We start from the raw sequence: 22,576 nt of genomic DNA on the forward strand, positions 1-22,576 counted from the left end.
TCTAAGATGTGCATTTGGTAAGTCCTGTAAACAGACAGGAAAACACATTTAAATTAGTTTGCCCTTTAAAGATTATTTCCTACTTGTCTCTTATCAATGTGAGTACATAAAAGAGACCTTATTACAATTAAAAACTGATGGTTTAGCAGCAGATTTAGATACCTTACATTTTCTCTTTAAGAGAGAGAATGTAAGGCCTGGCACGGTGGCTCACACCTGTAATCCAGCACTTTGGGAGGCTGAGGAGGGTAGATCACCTGAGGTCAGGAGTTCGAGACCAGCCTGGCCAACATGGTGAAACCCCGTCTCTACTCAGAATACAAAAATTAGCTGGGCGTGGTGGTGCATGCCTGTAATCCCAGCTACTTGGGAGGCTGAGGTAGGAGAACTGCTTGAACCCAGGAGGCAGAGGTTGCAGTGAGCCAAGATGGTGCCATTGCACTCCAGCCCGAGCAACAAGAGCAAAACTCTTATCTCAAAAAAAAAAAAAAAAAAAAAAAAATGTAAACTACAAGATAGTTCAAAAGAAATTACACAGAATTCAGCATGGGAGAAACAAAAAACAAGAGTGGGAAAAGACATCAAACATGTTTTTACTAATCGAAGTTCTAAAAGGAGAGACAAGAATACAGCACAGATAATATATGAAGAGAATGGCTGGAAATCTTTCAGAACTGTTGAAGGATATCTATCCACAGATTCAAAAACCCAATAAAATCTCAAGCAATATTAAAAAAAAAAGAAGAAATCTACTTCTAGTCACATAAGAGTAAAACTGCCCCTAAAAAAGACAGAGAGAAATCTCAAAAGCAGCCAGAGAAAGAAGACACATTGCCTCACAATAGACTTCTCAACAGCATTGGTGTAATACTATCTCATGTACTAAAAGAAATAACTGCCAACCTTTTATATTTTCCAAGATCTCTTCTGGAAAACAAAAACTTTAAGAATCTGCCTTCACTGAAAATTCTTAATGATGTACTTCAAGCAAAAAGAAAATTTCCTAGGTAAAAGTTCTAAGATGCCAGAAAGAAAGACATGCAAAGGAAACTTACCACCATATTACAGATATGGACTGTCAGTCTGACTGGTCACACTAGGGGCATTTGGTTACCAAGGCCTTGAAAATAATAACCAACACTGCATACATGAGGGATGCCAGAAGAAAGGTCTGAGAGCCACTCTTCCTGGCACTGAAGGAAACAGGGCCCATCAGAGCAAACAAGTACCTTTTACCTCTCTCCTTGGAAGCAAATGTTTATAATCTCTGGTTTTGTGTAAAGTTTATAACAGTATTTTTCATTCAGGTTGCTACCTATTAGTGGATGGTGAAATTAATTTGGTGGATCACATTCAGAATATTTTTTTAAAATCAAAAGAATACAAGCTGGGGTCAGTGACTCACAGCTGTAAGCCCAAAAGTTTGGGAAGACCAGGCAGGAGGATTGCTTGAGAACAGGAGTTCAGAATCAGCGTGGGCAACATGGCGAGACCCTATGTCTACAAAAATTTTAAAATATACCAGATCTGGTGGCATGTGCCCATAGTCCTAGCTACTCGGGAGGCTAAGGCAGCAGGATTCTTTGTTATAAGGAGTTTGAGGCTGCAGTCAAACTTCTGGTCGAAATCCTGGTCATGCCACTGCATTTCAGCCTGGGCAACAGAGTAAAACCCCATCTTTAAAAAAAAAATTAAGAAATAAAAATAATATGTGAAACATTAGAATATGTTGAATCTAGTAAGGATAAGCAATTATTTCTTGAAACTCTACATATATACATGAGTGTTGGTAAATACCTGACTGTATCATCAGCTCTAGATATAAAATGTTTATGATGTTGGCTGTGAGTTAATGAGGAATAGTTTTCCTTTCTGTGGGTTTGGGTGTATTTGGGAAACATTAGCTAAGGGGGTAAAGTAGGTTACCCAACTCTGAAAAGCAGCATCAAAATCTTTATAATAAACACATACTAGGGGCCCAACTTAAATTTCAAGCAGATGTCATGAGCTGCTCAGAGTAGCATGTTACAACTCTGCGTTATAAGGTAAAATGACACATTGCCTCACAATAGCCTGCCAGATCTGAGAACACAGCAAAATTTTTATTTTGTCAAAAATCTCATATTCAGCTTACACCATTCATTTCAGGTGAACATACAACAGTGCATTTCAGTTTAGGGAAATGTTTACAGTCATCTGGTTCTCTTTATTCCTGGGAACAAGGTTACCTCACTTGGAACACATAACCAGTGCCAAGTTGTCCATCCCTAAGCAATATTGCTTCCTTCTACTTTCTAGAAGTTCTTCAGATTGTGGAAGAGAAACTTTTCAGAGTTCTTTGCCCTCATTCCCTCCTCCAGAAATTCATGCCTTTGTATAATCTCTTCCCCCTGAGAGCCAGTAGGCTAACCTAATGAGTTATTTTTAACCAGTAGAATACAGCAAAAATGATAGATTACAAGAGATTGTGGCTTCTATCTTGCTAGCGGACTCTCTCTGTCTTCTCTGCTTGCACACTTTGTTGAAGCAAGCTACCATCCCAGAGGCAAGGAACACAGGCCATCAGTTTAGCAGCCTTGAGGAACTAAATTCTTCCAACTACCACATAAGTTTGGAAGTAGATTCTTCTCCAGTCCAGCCTTCAGATGAGACCCCAGCCATGCCAACATCTTGATTGCAGCCCTGTGAGAGACCTTGAAATAGAACCATTTCTGATCTCCTGACCCACAGAAACTGTGAAATAAATATGTGTTAAGGTACTAAGTTTGTAGTAATTTGTTACACAGCAGATTGTAAATAACACGTAGATAAAACCAGACAGAACAGAAAAATAAAATGGCTTTAAACCTAGAAAGTTTCCCCATGTAAAATTTTGAAAATGCTACTCTGCCTAAGGTCAAACCGTCATACATATATACGTATGAAAACACAGAAAGGTGTCTGGAAGGGTAATACCAAATTAAATCTTTATCCAAGAGGAATGAAAACCAGTATTCACACAAAAACCTATGCACAAACCTTGTGAATATATTAAAAACCAGTGACTTATGCACTTTAAAAAGGTGAATTATGTGGTATATGAATTATATCTCCAAAACATTTAATTAAAAACCTGTACACAATTATTCATAGAAACTTTCTTTAAAATTGCTAAAAACGAGGAAGATCTCAGTTATCCTTCAACTGGCAAATGAATAAACAAACTGGTACAGCCATGCAATTGAATACTGCTCAGCAATAAAAAAGAATGCACTGCCAGTACAGCAACATGGATAATTCTCAAATGCATTATGCCAGTTGACAGAGGTCAGACTCAAAATACTATGTACAGTGTGATTCTACTTATATGACACTGAAAAAAGCAGTACTATAAGGACAGAAAACAGGTTAGTGGTTGCCAAGGAGTGGGAGAAGCAGCCAGGGAGAACTTTGAGGAGGTAAAAATGTGCCAGGCCTTGGTCGGTGGTGGTACATAACTGTGCATTTGTCAAGACTCAGTGCTATACGCTGAAAAGGGCAGGTTTTACTATAAGTTGTACCTCAATAAACATGATTTTTAAATGATTAAAACTTTGGTTTTTGTTTGTTTTGGTTCAGTTTTAAGGTTTACCATAAATCTATTGGTTTTAGATTCTAAGTTGTATATAAGCTTCTGTTTTAAAAGAACTTTTTTAAAAATCCTCTTATCATCAACAATATTTAGTTGTGCTGGAAATTTTATTTTGGAATTGTTTAATAGAGAAAGACAATAAATAATGTTCAAGAACAGACATTGATTCATAACATCAAAGTATATTGTGAGAAGATGGTATTTCAGAATAGAGGAAGAATTTCTTATGTGCTGGTAAGATTGTAGATAATCATTTCTGCATAATTTTCATAGCTGGATTGCTTTAATAAAGCCACTTAAAGGTTAAGTTCTAGATTGCTTCATGTTGCTTATCAATGTTTTAAAGCTAAAATAGAAAATTAGCTGTTAAGTTGGCTCAACCGGAAATTCAGTATATCCTTTAAAAAGAGAAATTTAGTAAGCAGTGTGTCTAAAGAATGACATATGGTTGGGTACAGTGGCTCGTGACTGTAATCCCAACACTGTGAGGCTGAAGTGGGAGGATCACTTAAGCCCAGGAATTTGAGACCAGCCTGGAAAACAGCCCAGCCCAGCCCATGCCTGGCTAATTTTTTTTTTTTTTTTTGGATTTTAGTAGAGACAAGGTTTCACCATGTTGCCCAGCTGGTCTTGAACTCCTGAGTGCAGGCAATCCACCCACCTCACCCTCCCAAAGTGCTAGGATTACAGGTATTTGGTTTTTTGTTTGGTTTTCAAGCAACCTTTCTCAATTTTGCTATGCTCACTCTTTCTTCACATGTTGGTACTGGCTAGATACAGATTTTGCTTTCCTATTGGAGACTCTTTTGAGAGCTGGCTATTCCCTCTTGCTCCTTTTCTTTTTTCTCTTCCCTACTTTCAAGTTTCTTGCTCTTTTTCTTACCCCATAAGTTACCAGAAATTCATACCCCCTTGAGAGGGCTTTTTCTTTGAACTTCAGTCTTTAGTTTCATCAACTTTTCTAAGGAAATTGATCTGTTAATGAAAGTTGGCTTGCTTGACTTCAGAATATCTGTATTATTCAATGATGTGTTTTTCTGGTTGCTTTGTTTGAGCATAGTGTAAATATCACCCATTGCATAGCTATGGCAGTGACATAAATCTAGCAGCGTAAGATCGAGAAAAGCTAGAAGTCCCACCACAGATTGTATTTCAGTGAAAGGGATTCATTTTAACTGCTTATAAAACTAAAGAAAACTTATAAACATGGAAAACAATTATTAAACCCACCATATGCTCATACTGATATTAAATGGTGTGCCAGATTCTAGAAAGAGTTACCTTTTGGTAAGAGCACTGCTTGTTAACTATGGTTGGTTGCTTTAGATGTCTAGTGTGTACACAAAAGCATGAATTTTATTCCTTATAACCAAAGTAGAAACCTACTCTGAGCAATTTGACAAAAGGTTTACATTATTTATTTTAGTGTAGTTTAAGATTACAGTAAGATGCAATTCCCAAAGAGTGAAATATAAGGCTGGGCATGGTGGATCACGCCTGTAATCCTAACACTTTGGGAGGCTGAGGCAGGTGCATCACCTGAGATCAGGAGTTCGAGACCAGCCTGGCCAACATGACGAAACCCCATCTCTACTAAAAATACAACAATTAGCCAGATGTGGTGGTGCCCACCTGTAATCCCAGCTACTAGGGAGGCTGAGGCAGGAGAATCCCTTGAACCTGGGGGGGTGGAGGCTGGAGTGAGCTGAGATCATGCCATTGCACTCCAGCCTGGGCACACTCTCAAAAAAAAAAAAAGTGCAATATAACTTTTCACAAAATATGGAACTGTGGTAGTCTAGAACAATGTCTCAATATACCTCCTACACGAAGTATAATAGTAAATATCTGTATTTGGTGGCATAATATGCTCTTAGTATAAACCAAAAACACATGCTGAGCATTGGACATTGTCCAATGTTTAATTCATATGATTCATTCTGAGTTTCTGACTGAGATCATTCTTTCAGACTGTGTATTTCTCCTGGGATCCATAAAATATGCAGCCCTAACATGATTTCATTTTTGTTTCCTTTCCTGGAAAAGGAGAAATCATTCAGATCAGCTTTCATATTGCCTTATAGACGATGACTTCAAAATAGTTTTAAAGGGACTCCTTTGTTCTAGAACTGCTCTAACACAGTAGCCACTAGCCACATGTGGCTATTGAAAGATTGAAATGTGGTTATTCCAAATCAGGATGTACAGTAAATATAAAATACACACCAGATTTCAAAGGCTTACATGAAAAAAGTAATGTGAAATATCTCACTAGTAGTTTTTATAGTGATTACATGTTGAAATTTTAACATTGTGAACATATTAGTTTAAATAAAATGTATTGTGAAAATTAATTTCATGTTTCTATTTACTTTTGATAAAAGTACTACTAGAGGCTGGGTGTGGTGGCTCACTCCTGTAATCCCAGCACTTTGGGAGGCTGAGGTGGGAGGATCACGAGGTCAGGAGACCGAGACCATCCTGGCTAACACGGTGAAACCCCGTCTCTACTAAAAACACAAAAAATTAGCCAGGCGTGTTGGCAGGCGCCTGTAGTCCCAGCTACTAGGGAGGCTGAGGCAGGAGAATGGCGCGAACCCGGGAGGCGGAGCTTGCAGTGAGCTGAGATCGTGCCACTGCACTCCAGCCTGGGCTTCAGAGCGAGACTCCGTCTCAGAAAAAAAAACACTACTAGCACATTTTTAAATTACTTGTAGTGATCTCATTTGTAACACATTACATTTCAATCGTATACTGCTTTTCTAAAGAGTCACTGCTAAGCCCTGAAATTAACTCCAAATACCTCCCTGGGATACAGTGCCAAGGAAGGGGCTTCCTTGAACTTCAACCTCTAAAAGTAAGCAAGAATTGAGAAATATCTTCTGCTTTGAAAAATATTCACTCCCCAACGCTAATACATCAATTACATATTATTTGGGGGCTAACTAAGCTCCTATTTTAAAATGTAAACTGAAGAAATCAGGCCAGAGTCATTCCCATCTTAGTGCCAATCATATAATCAGATAATTAGATTGCTCTTTCCCTAAAGCCTGTTTAGTTTTTTTGTTTGCTGGTTTTGTTGTTGTTGGGTTTTTTAATTTGTTTTTGTTGTTGTTGTTGTTGTTGTTGTTTTGAGATGGATACTCACTGTGTCACCCAGGCTAGAGTGCAGCGGCATGATCTCTGCTCAGTGCAACCTCCAACTCCTGGGTTCAAGCGATTCTCCTGCCTCAGCCTCCTGAGTAGCTGGGACTGTAGGTGCATGCCACCACGCCCGTCTAATTTTTTTGTTTTTTGGTTTTTTTGTTTGTTTTGAGACAGTCTCGCTGTTTCCCAGGCTGGAGTGCAGTGGCACGATCTCGGCTCACTGCAACCTCCACTTCCGAGGTTCAAGCGATTCTCCTGCCTCAGCCTCCCAAGTAGCTGGGACTACAGGTGCATGGCATTATGCCTGGCTAATTTTTTGTATTTTTAGCAGAGATGGGGTTTCGCCATGTTGGCAAAACTGGTCTCAAACTTCTGGCCTCAGGTGATCCAGCCGTCTCAGATCAAAGTGCTGGGATTACAGGCATGAGCCACCACTCACAGCTCGCTAAGGCCTTTTGCCAAGACAAATTAGCTCTTAGAGAACCACAGGATTCCTTTTGTAATGTATTACAAACTAAAGTCTTACCTACTCTTGAAGAGTAGAAAACATGGAAAAGTTCTATGTTAGCCCTTAGAATAATTAAAAATTCATAAGCTCTGAAATAAAGACAGGTAATAAAATCATTGCGTATGACAAAACAAAAGTTTAAATTGGCGTTTGTAAACTCTGCATGAAAGCCAGGTTTCTCACTACTAGAAAAAAAGTTATAAATAAACCAAGGAGAATTCCAGAATGAATCCTGTGGTGCCAAATATATGTTAACTACAAGGAATAACAGTGACCTTACACTGGAAACACCTTAACCATGGGCCAAGGTTAAAGATATAACAGCATTCTCACACCCCTTGCATAGCTACCCCCAATGTTAACATAACTGTTAACAAATTATCAAAACTAAGAAATTCGTCTTGGTATAGTATCACTAACTAAACTCCAGACCTCAGTCAGGTTTTCCCAGTCTTTCCTTCAGTGTCCTTCCTCTGTTTCAGGATTCAATCCATGATCCTTGACACTTGGTACTTTGTCAGATGTCCCGCTGTATGGGTTTGTTTGATGTTTTCCCATGATTAGGGATAGACACTGCAAGACTCAGAGCTACTTTACAAAGAAGCCTCTAGGGAGCTCCCCAGAGAAGACAGGGGAGACAACACAAGGACACTAGAGGAAATTTTAGCCTCTGACATCCATGACTATATAGCAAAGAGTAAACAAAGCCTAACTCCTAGCCAGAGAAACACAAAATCTCATACTAAAGCCTTATTTAACTCAGTTCGTTTCACCCAGTACATCATATACAGCCTCAAACAAAAAATTACAAAGCATACTAAAAGACAAGAAACCCCACAGTTTGAAGAGACAGAGCAAGCATCAGAACCAGACTCAGATATGAAAGAAATATCGGAAGTATCCAACCAGGAATTTAAAATAACTAAGATTAACATGCTAGGGGCTCTAATGTAAAAATGGCATAACATGCAAGAACAGATGGGTAATGTAAGCAAAGAGATAAAAACACTAAGAAGAAATAAAGATGAAATACTAGAAATAAAAAACACCATAACAGAAATGAAGAATGCCTTTGATGGGTTCATCAAAAGAATGGATATGGCCAATGAAAGAATCAGTGAGCTCAAAGAGATGTCAATAGATACTTCAAAAGCTGACACACAATGAGAGAAAAGAATGAAAAAGAAAAAACAGAACAAGAGTCAAGAACTGTGAGACAATTACAAAAGGTGGAACATGGAGACTTTTTGGAAATACCAGAAAGAGAAGAAAAAGAGAAAGAAAGCCAGGCATGGTGGCTTACGCCTATAATGCCAGCAATTTGGGAGGCCGAGGCGGGCAGATCGCAAGGTCAGGAGATCGAGACCATCCTGGCTAACACGGTGAAACCCTGTCTCTACTAAAAATACAAAAAATTAGCGGGGCGTGGTGGCAGGCGCCTGTAGTCCCAGCTACTCGGGAGACTGAGGCAGGAGAATGGCATGAACCTGGGAGGAGGAGCTTGCAGTGAGCTGAGATCGTGCCACTGCACTCCAGCCTGGGCAACAGAGCAAGACTCTGTCTCAAAAAAAAAAAAAAAAAAGAGAAAGAAACAGAAGAAACATTTGAAGCAACAGTGACTGAAAATTCCCCCAAATTCATGATAGATAAAGCTATGGTCTGAATGTTTGTGTCTCCTCAAAAGTTATATTGAAACTTAATCCTCAATGTGATAGTACTGAGGTGGGGCTTTTGGGAGTCAATCAGGTTACGAGGGCTCTACCCTCAGGACAGAGATTAGTGCACTTATGAAAGAAGCCCCAGGGAATTAGCTAGCCCCTGACACCATGTGAGGACAAAGCCAGAATGTGTCATCTATGAGGAAGCAGGGCCTCACCAGACACTGCTAGTGCCTTGGTCTTGGACATCACAGCCCCTAGAACGGTGAGAAATAAATTTCTGTTGTTTATAAACTCTCCAGTTTATGATATTTTTGTCACAGCAGCCCAAATGAACTAAGGTAGACATAAAGGAACAGATCCAGGAAGCTCAAAATACATCATTTCAATAATGATCTTTAAAACTTTGTTTGAAATTATACTGATCATTCCGCTGACTGCTGAATGACCTGGCACCGTCTCAGGGTTTTAGTCTGGAGTTTTTGTTTATGCTCATGGCCTCACGGAGAACAATATTCACCTGAAGTGACGGCGCTTCTCTTTTTATGTTGTTGAGAAGCATGATTGGCTCTTTTTTTGCAAAATTATTCACAAACTTAAACTTTGATTCAGAATTATTGAAGTAACATGGTGAGGCAGAGTAATATGTGACTTAAATTTTATGGAGTACTAAGGAAAACGGGCAGACTTAATATAAAAGTGGTGCATTGGTGGTGCTTAAGGGCAAATACCGATAACATGGTGTACAAATAAAGGATCCCGATGATTCAAACAGGTGGAAGTGATGGGAGAACTGAGTTGTCACACAGTACCATATCCACACTGTCACACAAATCTCACCTTTATTTATTCCCTTTTGCACTAACGTAGCCAGAAATGTGAAACGATGACAGTTTTTTCAGTAGGTATTTTTTTTTTTTAGTTTTTATCATTGACCTTTGAGGTGCACTATTAAATTGCTCAGTCCATTAAAATAACGGATTGCTGATTTAAAAACTGGTTCCTTGCTTAGCTTCAGCAAAACAGCAAAGTCTACCACATTAAATGTATATTGTTTATTTGATTTTTATTGACTTTGTTGTCTTATTTTAACTACTTAATTGCAAATCTGTCTTGGGGTTAACACTGTGTAAGAGTTTTAAGCATAAGAAGTCTGTACTTAGAGTTTAGATGTAGTTTTATATTTGTACATGTTGATGTAACATTTTAATAATAATAATTCAGGTCTGCTGGGCATGGTGGCTCATGCCTGTAATCCCAGCACTTTGGGAGGCTGAGGCGGGCGGCTCACCTGAGGTCGAGAGTTCAAGACCAGCCTGACCAACATGGAGAAACCCTGTCTCTACTAAAAATGTAAAATTAGCCAGGCATGGTGGCACATGCATGTAATTCCAGCTACTTGGGAGGCTGAGGTAGGAGAATCGCTTGAACCCGGAGGCGGAGGTTGTGGTGAGCTGAGATCGCACCATTGCACTCTAGCCTGGGCAATGAGAGCAAAATTCTGTCTCAGAAAAAAAAAAAAAATCAGGTTAATTCTGGGATCTGAGCAAAGTTTTGCTCCTTTCCGAGAGGTGAACACGTTACGCAATTATTAATAATATCCCTGTGGGAAGGGGCTTTACAACAAATTATTTTACAGGTGAAGGGCAGAAATGAAAACATTTTCTAGAGCCACTCCTGCCCTTCACACTCAGGAATGTCGCAGTAGTCATCTCTCTGTTCTGGATCAGTAGTATAGCACCAGGGCCCCTGCGCATCGTTGTCTGGATTCCTCCAGTCCCTCTGAGGGGTGTGTAGCAGGTGAGAATCTGGGGAGGATGGAAGAGAAGCACTTAGACTATATTCTAAAAATCAGCTTGCTATTAGCAAGGCAGAAGGAGATGCTCTCGATTCCCATCTGAGATTGTCATCCAAATGCATTTCAGCTGGGTGCTGCAGCATTTGTGTGGTCAGATTTTCAATTTCTCTATTGATAGGCTGCTTCTGGCACAGTAGCTAATATTACCATTGCTACTGTGACAGCCAAGTCTTAGACAGAGAGCCAAAATATTTTTATTGCACAGTCAGGAGAAATATAAAGGCCTCAAAAGCCTGCCATGGTCTTAATTCATTCCAAACACCTGCTTTTGTCAGTTGCCCTTTTCTCTGTAAAAATTTTCGTAGTTAACACCATTTTGTCCATGTGAACTATGTGCCAGGAATTCCACTAACATCTTTCCACACATTCTCTCTTTTAGTCCTAATAAAAAAAACCATTTGAGGAAGGTGTTATTATCCCTGTTTTACAGATGAGAAGACTGAGTGGCAACGTAAAACAAAACAAAACAAAACTTGCCTAAGCATAAATAGCTATGAAGAAGCAGATCAAGAAGTCAAAGTTGATCTGTCTGATTCCAAAGTCCTGGTTTTCTCTGAAATGCAGCTTGAATTATTGGGGATGGAGGAGGGATTTAAACTTATTTTCAGTTCTAGAGATGAGTTGCTGTATAGAGACAACCATTTAGATGACAATCACAAGACTTACAGTCTAGAAAGGCAGGTTTTATTTCTGGTTCTTCTGTGAACCTATTTGGGTAACCCCCACCCCCCAAGACCTCAGTTCCCTCATGAAGATGAGCCTAGACTACCTCATAAAAATGGCCCAGAGTGTCTCCATGGCCCCCGATAGTCTCTGACTTCGCCATTTGGTTGAATCAGTTTTCATTAACTCACGGGGAATATTTGATCTGCTCATCTCATAGGGATATAGCAAAGGCAATTTGTTGAGTGTTGGGGGAATGGATAAAGGTGAGTAACACTAAGTTCCTATTTGATAAGTGTCATTACTGAGAACTTAAGGCCACCTAACACCAAACTGGGAAAAGCACAAAAAAATGCACTAAAATAAATAATAGGCAAGTTGTGACATTTGAATTTCACGTATCTTCATTTTCATTTTTATATTTTATTTACTATTTTGCTCCACAATTTGAGTCAAACATGTGATGAGAGTTCTAACTTGATATGTTTACTTCAGTCCCAAACATAGTCATCTTTGGTCTTTTCTCAGATTTGGCCTAAAACTCGTAGTTTCATTGATTTTTTTTTTTAACTAGGCATTCTTCTATGTTCTAGGTCTTCAAGAAACCTCCATACCCAAGAAAAAATAGAAAGCAACCATGTTCTACTATGGTGCCAAAAATAGTTGAACATCGACATCAAAAAGATTCTTTCTGTCTGCTTATTCACATATTCTGGTTTGAATTAAAAGTGATGAAATTATCCTAAATACAGTTGGCCCTCTGTATCCATGGGTTCCACATCCACAAATTCAACCAACTGTGGATGGAAAAGACTTGAAAAAGATGAGAGAAAATAACAATATGACAATAAAACATAATACAAATAAAAACAATACAGTATAACAACGATTACATAGCATTTACATTATATTAGGGATTGCACAAGAGAAGGTATGTAGGTTATATGCAAATACTGCACCATTTTACATAAGGGACTTGAGAAGCATGGATTTTGGTAGCCACAGGGGTCCTGGAACCAATCCCTCACAGACACAGACGGACACTTTACAGTAGATGAACACAAAGATGAAAGGAAAAGTCTGACCTAGGTTTGCGGGGAGAAGTGGAACTCCATTTTTGACAGGTGATGCCATTTTTTGTTTTGGACATCGTCCCTCTGTAGTTCTTTCCATTCCCAGTCTTGCACTCTGAAAGATACACTGAAGGAAAGTCCACACAGTGGTCAAAGTCTTTCACAAGACACCACGTGAAGGTCTGCACAGCACAGTCACATTGAGAAAAAGATCTCATGCACCAGACCCCCTGTTTCTGCTTTCTAAAAGATCATCTTTTGCACCTGCAAAAAGGCTGCAGTAAACTGGGCCATTCCATACTTTGATTCATGTATTCAAATGCTACTTATGAGCTCTCTGTGTATTGAGCCCCACCAGGATGCTGGGGACACACGGGGCACAGTGCAGCCAGAGGCTTGGCCATCATAGAGCTCACATTCTAGTGGAATCAGACAGGGGGGTTACAGGAAATATTCAAGTAAACAATATAAAATGAGATCACTTGATGATACATGGATACATGTTACATACATGATGAGACAGAGTAAGAGAATGGGGAAAGGGTTTTTAGATGGGGGAATGGCAGGCTTTTCCGAGGCTGAAAGAGATCCAACCCACTTCTATTTCTTCAGGCTCCCAGTGATATGAAAAAGTGCCAAACAGGACTATAAAATTGTGGTCTACTGTAAATGGTTTGCAGTAAAAGTTCTCAACCAGCTTCCACTCAACCAACTCACCAGTTAGACAATGGGCCCTCTCCTGTGTTTAAAACAGTCCGGTGCCCACCTGGGTCCACATGCAGCTGGCAGGTGTTTGCTAGTGTGCCCACCCATGTCTGTTCCCCCCACGTGAGTTATGTGCTTACAACGAGTCGTTTCTTTGCATTTTCCAACTTTCTTACATTTATATTTAATTAAAGATGATCTAAACTGAGAAATGAATGTGAAAAGAAACAAAGCTCTTTTTTGTTTGGTTTTTAACTAAATTAAATGTTTTTAACAAGTTGAAACGTGAATCATTTAAAAAATTGCTATCAGATCCACAGAGGGCAATCCACTCATATAGTTGACTATAAAGCTTGAGGAGGAATTCATAAAAATCTAAAGGTTTTACACATGCAGATTGATTAATAAATGTCGAGATATGGTCCACTTCAAAAATAAGGAAAGTAATTATTGTAGATGTTGCACTAGAGCATAGTTTATGCAGGAAATGCACCAGAGACCTTCTACTGGTGACCCCATATTCGAAGAAAAAAAGCCTCTGCTCTACATCAAGAGGTGTCAAGTACACTTGTGTTTTCAATGAAAATATAAAATGTTTAAGGTATATTTGCACCATCATTTAAGGTTACCCACTTTAGCCATTTTTAAATTCACTGATCAATCACATGGGGAGTACTCCTAACGTACCTACAGCAAACTAATGCTTTTAACCCAATACTACGTATTATGATTGCCAGTACATCTTCATTGGGACATAGTATTACAGTAGACATAAGACACTCATCAAAGTGTAAACTCAAGGTACTTTGTGAAAGGGAGGTCTAGGGGTCAAGGAAGATTTGCAAAGGAGGTGATGATTGAGCTGACACCTAGGCGATAAGAAGGAGCTGGCACAGCAGGACAAAGGTGAAGAGGGTCCCAGGCAGGAGGGCGTGTGCTTGGGGTGGTGAAGGAACAGAAGTAAGGCCAGAAACTTTGTAGAAAAGTTTAGCAAGCCAAGCAAACAGCAGCCGGGGGTTACGTAAATAATGCCGGGCCCTGGCACATTTGGGAAGTCTTTGGGTCTTATTTTAAGGGCACTAGGAAGGGCTTTAAACAGGGAAGTTATATTTCTTCGAGATCAGGTGTACAGCTACAAGTAGCCCCAACCAGTGGTGATAGGGTCTTGGACTCGGTGAAGGCAGTGTGGCTGGTGGCAAGTGGCAGAAGTAAACGTGATCTAACACTGACTGTTCCTGGCAAAACCCTGGCAGGTAAGTTAGCAGCAGGTCAATATCCCACAGCAACTGTATGTACCCACCGGAGTTTATATAACCTTTTGCTCCCTTCTGTCACTTTGAAAACAAGCAAACTAAGCCTTCAAACTTCACACTTCAAACTCAACCTACAGTCATTCCCATGTTCCTTCTGGTTAACAATTTACAAATGACATATTTAAATGTTAGCATTTTGTAGAGAGAATCAGGAGAATCAGGGTTTTTTGTTTTTGTTTTTAAATCTGGTACAATTAGGTCATCCTATTTAGTTTACCGTTTGCTTGCTACTTGTAAGAACTAATAACTTTACCAGATAAAGTTTAGATTTCATCTGTACTTTAATCTCAAGAATTCGAGATAAATAGTGGTAAGGAAGAAAGTACAATGCGTACAGCTAATGAAACCCAGGAAGATGAGTCAATGCATAGAAATAATTCCAACCCAAATAAATACTATTTAAAATGCTACTTGGAGTTTTGCCGTGATACTAGACACAATATGGCAAATCATCCTCAAGAATACAAGAACTAAGGTGTTTCCAGTCCTCTTTAACACCTGTGATGCAGGATATTTGGAGAGCTAAATTGTTATTATTAACAGTCTTAATACCTGGCCACCAACACAGTAGAGGAAACAGTTTTTAAAGTGTCATACATCTCTTCAAATATTCATACGCTTAATGAAACATTCGCACATCTAAAAAGGCATGCAATTTCTATTGAAATCCTGTGTGCCTCTTATTCTAAGCAGTGGGACTATTGACCCACATTTTAAAATAAACTATAGAAAAGGAACTGTAACTTTTACACATTTTTAAAAGACAACATATCAGAAATCTGAGAAAAATATAGACCATGTCCCCCAAAATGTGAAAAATTTAAGAGTAAAAAATAAGATTTGTGTCCCAATCTAAATGTTTCTGAGGATTAAAACACCTCAGTATTTCTGTTTTACAAGGCTTCGTCCAGATGTTAGGGCCCAAGGACCATGGTCACCCTGCAGAATAAGAAGCCAAGACCAAAAGGAATGCTTAGACTTCCCATCTCCTTGTTAAATATAAAATAATATTTTAAAAATCTTATTTTCAGGGTCATAGAGGTAGAAGTGATTTTGTAAATCTAATCCTTTCATTTTTTGAACAAAAAAAAATTAAATCTAGGAGGTGAAGTAATATACTCAAGCTGACATGGTTAGTTAGTAATCAAATCCTGTCCTAACTCAGAATTCAATTTTACAACACCATAGCACCTTCCTCCTCTGGTCTCATAAATTAAAGATAGAATAGAGAAAGAGGAAGAGTGGGAGGATGGGGAGGACAGTAGGAGGAGGAGGAAGAAAATGTACTCACTTTACTTTTCAAATAAAACTGCATCTCTCATCCTAATGATTATGGAGGACTTCCTGTTTTCAGCCATTATCACACATTGTTGCTCTTTACTGTGATATTGGAATGCCCTGCAGAACGAAGCAGGAAATCCAATAAGTATTTTTCTTTATTTAAAGAAAACAAATGTTTATTAATAAATGAGAAATGCTAAAGATCATTGACTATCTTGAGGGACCAGAGAGCTCAGAATTGCTGCCTCTTTCAGTTATTTGGGCATGGCATTGATGAAGTACTGAACAAAATACACCAACGTGGCAGTAAATCTTATCTGCCCTTACCTTCCCTCCCTCATAATTTTCTCTTTCTTTCTGTTTCAACTGTTTTACTTCTTCTTCACTCATCTTCTTAATTTTTGTTTTTGGGTCAGAAAGAAGCAACTCTGGTTGCTTTGAACCCATTCCCCAAGATAGTCCATCTCCATGACCTCCCAACTCTGATCAGTTCCCCTGAACCTCTGTCCCACATTCCACCCCACCCTGGCCCCTGACCCCTCCCATCTCCATCCCGTGGTCCTGCTATGGGTGCTCAGTCTGGCATCCATAGCTACTTTCCCAGGCTCATCACCTACACAAAGTCTCTGCTTTAGTCAACTTGATCTCTTAATGGTCCCCCTCAGAAAGTGCAGGGCCGCATCTTCCCCTGCCTTCCTGGTGCTTTTCAAGAGCTCTCTCAACTCCAAACCCAGCTCGGTTCCCACCTCCTCCCTGAGCCTTCTCTAGCTGCCTCAACCTTAGGCACTGTTCTTTCTTCTGGATCTGGGTAGAACATGCATTGATTATGCCTGTAGCTCACTTAGGCTGTCTTTTTTTTTTTTAACATTATATCCAGTCACCTTAAATACTGAAGGGCAGGCACTGGATCTTGTAGCTATAAGTCATTGCTCAGATCTATCTAGGACACTTTCATTCATATGATCCTCAACAAACATTTACTGATGATGATGTTAAAAACTGGAGCTCAGAACAATAACTGCTAATGTTTATGTCCGGTGTAAAAACAAATAACTTCCTTTTAGGGTATTTTTCTAATGAAGACTCCAGTAAACCTTAACAAGAAGCTGTTAGTATGGCTTCACATGCTATGAGCAAATATAGTTCCAAACTCTGGCTCCATAAATTTCTCTTTCCTCTTAAATCGTTAATAAATTTGTGAGTAAATTACTTGCCATCTGAATTACAGATTTCTGGGTAGGTGCAACGACGATGAAAATACCTGCAGGTGAATTCTTTGTCCTCTTCACATTTTGCTGCACATTCTTCTCTGCTTCCTGCCCCCAGCTGCTTCTTAGTGACACTGAACAGTGAAGGCCCCTGGGTATTCACATAGTCATCCAGGGGCTCTCCTTGACCTAGAGGTGGGAGATCCAAGTGGAATAAATGGTCAGTAAATCAATGCCAATGTCTAATTGTCATGACTTCCTTTTAATCTATTTGGTTAGCATTAACCAAATAAAACTTGCTGTTTACTGGAAGTAGAATGGGTAGCTATGAATCAAAATGTTTAGTTAAGAACACACAGTTGGGCATGTGGACATAAATAAAGATGGCAACTAAAGACACTGGGGACTACCAGAGAAGGGAGAGAGGGAGCGAGGCAAGGGCTGAAAAACTACCTATTTAGTAGGTATTTAGCTCACTACCTGGGTGATGGGAATCATTTGTACCCCAAAGCTCAGTGTCACGCAATTTAGTGATGTAACAAACCTGCACATGTACCCCTGACTCTAAAAGTTGAAATTATAAAACAAAGAAAAACAGTTTCATTAACAGATTGCAAGATAGTAAAAGATTAACTGGATTGATAAACAGGTTAGAACTATGGAACCACTACTATGTTACCATATTAGTGGATATAAATCCTTAAACAAGAACAAATTTTATGTTTGCTATCAATTGTGCCATGTCATGAGAGAAGAGTAAGGCACCATCAGTGGCAGTTGTGTTACCAAGATTGATGTTGATTTGTTCATCCCTGGGTAGAAATGGAACTTGGAGGCCATTGTTTGATTTCCTACAATATGCGCTTTGGTTCTGACACTGTCACTTGAACTGGTGGGAAGCATCCTCTGAATGGTCCCTCCTTGAGGCACATAAATTTTGGTGCATAGATGATGGTGGAAATAAACAAGAACTGAACTAAATTATGTTGCCACCTTGGACAAAAATTGGGCAAAACACTGGAGGGTAAGAAGCTCCCCAACAAAGAAGGCCATTTTTGTACTGGGCTGATGACAGTCACACAACACTACTAACTGGGGAGAAATCAGTTTTTCCAAGGTGTTGACAGGTATCTGGATTTCGGAGGAAATTGTAAAAAAGCAGAACCTGGGACAAATACTGGTCTTGGTTTTTCTTTGAGATCAAATCTGAGACAACGAATCTGTCCGAAAGCTGCTTTCTGCCTGGTCGTGGCAGAGGGTGGCCAAGGGGGCCTCAGCTGTGCTCCCACCACAAGGCTACAGGGTGTTCCCTTGTCCTGAGGCTCTTCCGGACATCTGGCTGAGCTTTGGTAGGTCTATTCCAAGCCTGGAGATGCCAGCTCCATCCTTCGCACAGAATGCTAGTGATTTTCACAGGGGTAAGAGGCCAAAAGAGGCTAATAAAATGAAGATAGCCAAGCTCCATGGAATTAGACAACAGGACAACCTTGACCACTTTGAGGGGCGTGGTGGGGGCTGCAGGCAGAGGGAGTGGGTTATAGAGTGACGAGGAGAGCAGTGGAGGCGGCAGCGGGAGACAAGCCTGGCTCTGAAGACAGCGAGCCCTCCAGGGAAGATGCGGTCAGGGGAGGTTCTGAAAGATGACACACTGCAGAGCACACTGGTTTGTATGCTGATGACAAATATCCAGTAGGAAGGCAAATGAACAGATTCTCATTCTCAGAAAGGCCCGTCCTGACCTCCTGAGGGTACACAGAGCACAGGGAGGAGGATGCACGCTCATCAATTCATGCAAAGTCCTCGGCCAAAGTCCCCCTGCTCCCCACCTCTGGGACTTCGTCCTTCCTCAATTTAAGACATTCCGGGCTGGAAAAATGGATTATTGAGCAGGAGTTGGCTGATGCATTCTAAACCTAATCCACTAAAAAGCACTTGAGAGATGTATCAAAAGATCACAAAGAAATAGATGCTTTAGGCCCATATCCATGTCTTTACCCCGCACTTTCTGCCAACTTGAACTCTCATTTCCAAGAAGAGTTGTGTTTTGGTTAATTCTATAGCTCGCAGTGTGACTTCAAAACACACAATAAATCCACAAAGTGTGTCCTACGGTGAGTTCAGTTAAACTTTCTGAAGAGTTTTTTTGAAGTATAGCAGAGCAGGCTACAATTGATATTCAAAAAAAGAAAACTTCCATTTATTTCCCCCTTCAATTAAGTTCTCTGTGTCATGTTATTATACTTCATAGCACATCGCTGCTGAGATCCCCTCCCCAGCTCCTGTCCCTAGGAAATATCCCAAAACAGAATCAAACTGTTTTCTTTTTAATTTGAAATAATTTTCCCCCATTTTTTTTTTCTCTTATTCACCTCTAGGACTCATATGGCAATAGGATTTGATAGGGCTTATTTGCTGGCAAGGAAACATCAAATCTTTTAGTGGAAAAATACATTTATATTATAGGCAAAATGCAGATGTATATTGCTACTGATGCAAATGTATTTTATTAATGGTGTGAGAATTTCTTCCTCACTGTGGTGTGTGAATGTGTATGCATATTTGCATGTGTAAAAGACTTAATTTGTGAAATGGAAGATGTTTCTCCACTTCCCACTAAGCATGGCTGTAAAAGAAACTTTTTCCTCTCCCCGGGCATTGCAGCACACTGGAAAGATGATACATCCACAGAAAGCCTGGCTTTCCAAAAGAGCTTATGAGAGAATGTTCCCCCCAGGTTGGTTAAAACATTGGTAATCCTGTGGCGGAGAAGTTTGTTCTAGCCTTTGGGTGTAGCCCACTGAATAAGTTCACAGTGATCTATGTCATAGTTTCCATGCATTGAAATATAATATTCACACCCCCAACATACACCAATTTCTTACAAAAATTTCTTTAATTTTCTCCTGCTCTGTATTTTGTTTGATAGCTCCTTGAATGGCTTCCACTAAATTCAAATGTATTTGACTCTAAAGTGCAACTTGTAAAATTTTATCTGGTAATTTATAGATTGAATTTCAAGTATACATTATTTACAGGAAGAACTACTAGCAAATCGTATGATTCCGTTCGTATGAAATGTTCAAAATGGCAAAGATATAAATACAGAAAGTAGATTAGTGGTTGCCAGAAGCTGCAGATCGGGGGTAACAGCTAAGGAGAGTGGAGTGCGTTTTTGGGGGTATGAATAGTTTTAAAATTTATTCTGATGGTGGCTGCACAACTCTCAATATATTGAAATCCATTGGATTGTATGCCTAAATGGGTGAATTCTATACATTAATTATATCTCAATAAAGCTTTTTTTTAAAAAAAGAAAAAGAAAAAGAACTACTAGGACATGTTTAGAATATTATTTCAAAGGCTTAAACAAAGCTGAAAAGTGAGAAGAGCCCTAGATTCCTTCTGGGAAACCTGGCTTAAATCCAGTTTTCTTTATTTCCCAGATTTGAGAATTTGGTCACTGAGCAAATAACATGATTTTCCTAAGTCTAGATTTCTTTGTTTATAAAATGAGGGTGAATATGCTACCCTACCTATACCGCGAGCTAAATAAGCTAGTATTTGTAAAGGACACACACTCACACTCACATTCACACACAGGTATGTATGTATGTGTAAAAATGTAGCGACCTAACCCAAGCACTAAGTGAGTATTTGTTGAATCACTGTCTGCACACAGCATCTGGCAAATGGATGCGTGTGATTTTTCCGGGGATTAGAGGCAAACGTATACTGATGGAAAGCCTTCCTCAGGCCATAACAAAGGGAGAAATGCTGAATCCCTGACGCTGCCACCACCATGAACTGGTGAGAGAACAGAATATATTCAAAGAGAAATTTCATTGTTTTAACTTGCAAGTGAGGGGAGCATGACACCGTAAGAGAGATTATATAAATTAGTCAAACTGAGAACCAGGCGAAGAGCTTAGCCGTCCTTTGCATAGTTAGCTACATTGGCTCTTTTTCAATTAGACTGGCCATTATGTGGGTGCACTCATTTAGATTTGAAAAACCACCCATTATTTTCTCTGCGCATTCATTCCAGCACGCTGACAATCTTCACAGGAAAACTAAACTTATTTCTTGAAGAATTCCTCAATCTTATACAAGATTTTCAACTGGGAGTTTCATGAATCAAAAATTAAATGAATTGCACATAAAGCCATGGCATATGTATTTGTACTGCATTGTGGGAGAAAAAATAATTATTATAATTTAAAAAAACTATGTCTTACCTGATTTCAGAAATAAAAGAAGTAGAAGAACCACTTCCTTATGTTCCATTTTGGGACTGGCCAGCAGTGCCCAGAAAGTGTGTCCCAATCCCAGGATGTTGTTGACTTACATGAGAGTAAACGCATCCACAGACCAGATAGTCAAATTAAGTTAATGATTCTCTCAGACACCCACGCCACTGGCTCAGCAGGGTTCAAACACGACCTTGAATAAAGGGTCCTTACAAAATGATTGAGGGTGGAATCTGCAATAGATGCTGGGAAGTGGTGAAAGCAATCTCCCCCCTCAGCTGCTCCATGCTGCCTTCATGTCTCCTTACTCCTTCCCTCACCTTTGTACTTTATCTCTCACAATTAGTCTTATTTCCTCCCCTCTTCTTTTATTCCCTTTCTTTTGGAGAAAATGAAATCAGAAAAGTATCTCACATTTGCTGGAACCTTCCATGACGAGACCCTCTGCCAAGCGCTGCACGTCCATAGCCTCCCTCAAGCTTCCCAACAGGCAGTGCTGTTCTCATTCCTGCTGTACGAGGGATGGGGCTGAGGCCTTCCCCAAGGTTGTGTCGCTACCCAGGGGTGCAGCTGATAGACAAAACCCTTTCAGGTCCTGGATGACAAACTTAAGTTAGGTGTAAATGTTAATATCTCCACATCCTACACCAAATGACATAGAAATTACGACATAAGTGAAAGTATCTTATTATCTTCAAAATTTCTTTATTCCCAGTGAACTCACATGTTTTCTGTAATTATAAATTATAAGACATCAATCTTTCCCCCAAATGAACGTATGGCATATTATTATATTCTCATTCTCATGAAATAAAGCAAGACTGGTAGCACTAAGTGGAAAGCGTCTATCTCAATTTTAAATGTTGAATCTGTACTTTTCCCTGGCTTAAGTCTAGAGCAACCAGGTAGTATATATGTTGTAAAACTTCTATTTTAGTGTTCAAAGATATTTAGCAATAAATCAATTGACCTCTCTATTTTAGATGTGAAATAAGGACCAGAAAGCATTGTTCCTCTTTCCAGGCAGTGAAATTCCTGCCTATTCATTAACTGGCAAAAGAGTAGAGGTGGGAGCCCAATGGTCTTGGGTGGAACGTCCTGTGGAATTCCCTGGGATTGAGGAATCATGCAGAACCCTCAAGAAGAAACCACACTGGGCAACAAGAGGGTGGCCCCATGTGAGGAACAGGGGGACCGAATCGCATTTCCTGATTTCCTATTCTAGCCTCACTCTCTTCTCTCCTCAAATTCTTACCACTCCCTTTATCCTCTCTGACTCACCTCGTGGCCCAGTTCATTAAAGGG

General features: G+C 39.7%; 2 protein-coding genes across 5 annotated transcripts in view; one reads left to right on the forward strand and one right to left on the reverse strand.

Annotated features, from left to right (window-relative positions):
• RGPD1 (RANBP2 like and GRIP domain containing 1) overlaps positions 1-13,501 on the forward strand; it is a 100,318-nt gene extending 86,817 nt beyond the window's left edge. For all 4 annotated transcript variants that reach the window (NM_001410915.1, XM_011532845.4, NM_001024457.4 and 1 more), the window contains one exon: positions 12,038-13,501. In NM_001410915.1, coding sequence (NP_001397844.1) covers positions 12,038-12,072 — 35 coding nt within the window. In that variant the 3' untranslated portion in view covers positions 12,073-13,501. The remainder of the gene's footprint in view (positions 1-12,037) is intronic.
• PLGLB1 (plasminogen like B1) lies at positions 9,749-21,369 on the reverse strand. The gene is made up of 4 exons (NM_001032392.4): positions 21,260-21,369; positions 17,078-17,213; positions 15,827-15,933; positions 9,749-12,644 (listed from the first exon to the last, which is right to left on the reverse strand). The coding sequence occupies exons 1-3, from the start codon at positions 21,306-21,308 to the stop codon at positions 15,828-15,830; spliced, it is 291 nt and encodes a 96-aa protein (NP_001027564.1). The 5' UTR covers positions 21,309-21,369; the 3' UTR covers positions 9,749-12,644; position 15,827.
• Positions 21,370-22,576: the final 1,207 nt, after the last annotated feature.

Source organism: Homo sapiens, chromosome 2 (assembly GCF_000001405.40).
Source record: "Homo sapiens chromosome 2, GRCh38.p14 Primary Assembly".
Lineage (NCBI taxonomy): Eukaryota > Metazoa > Chordata > Mammalia > Primates > Hominidae > Homo > Homo sapiens.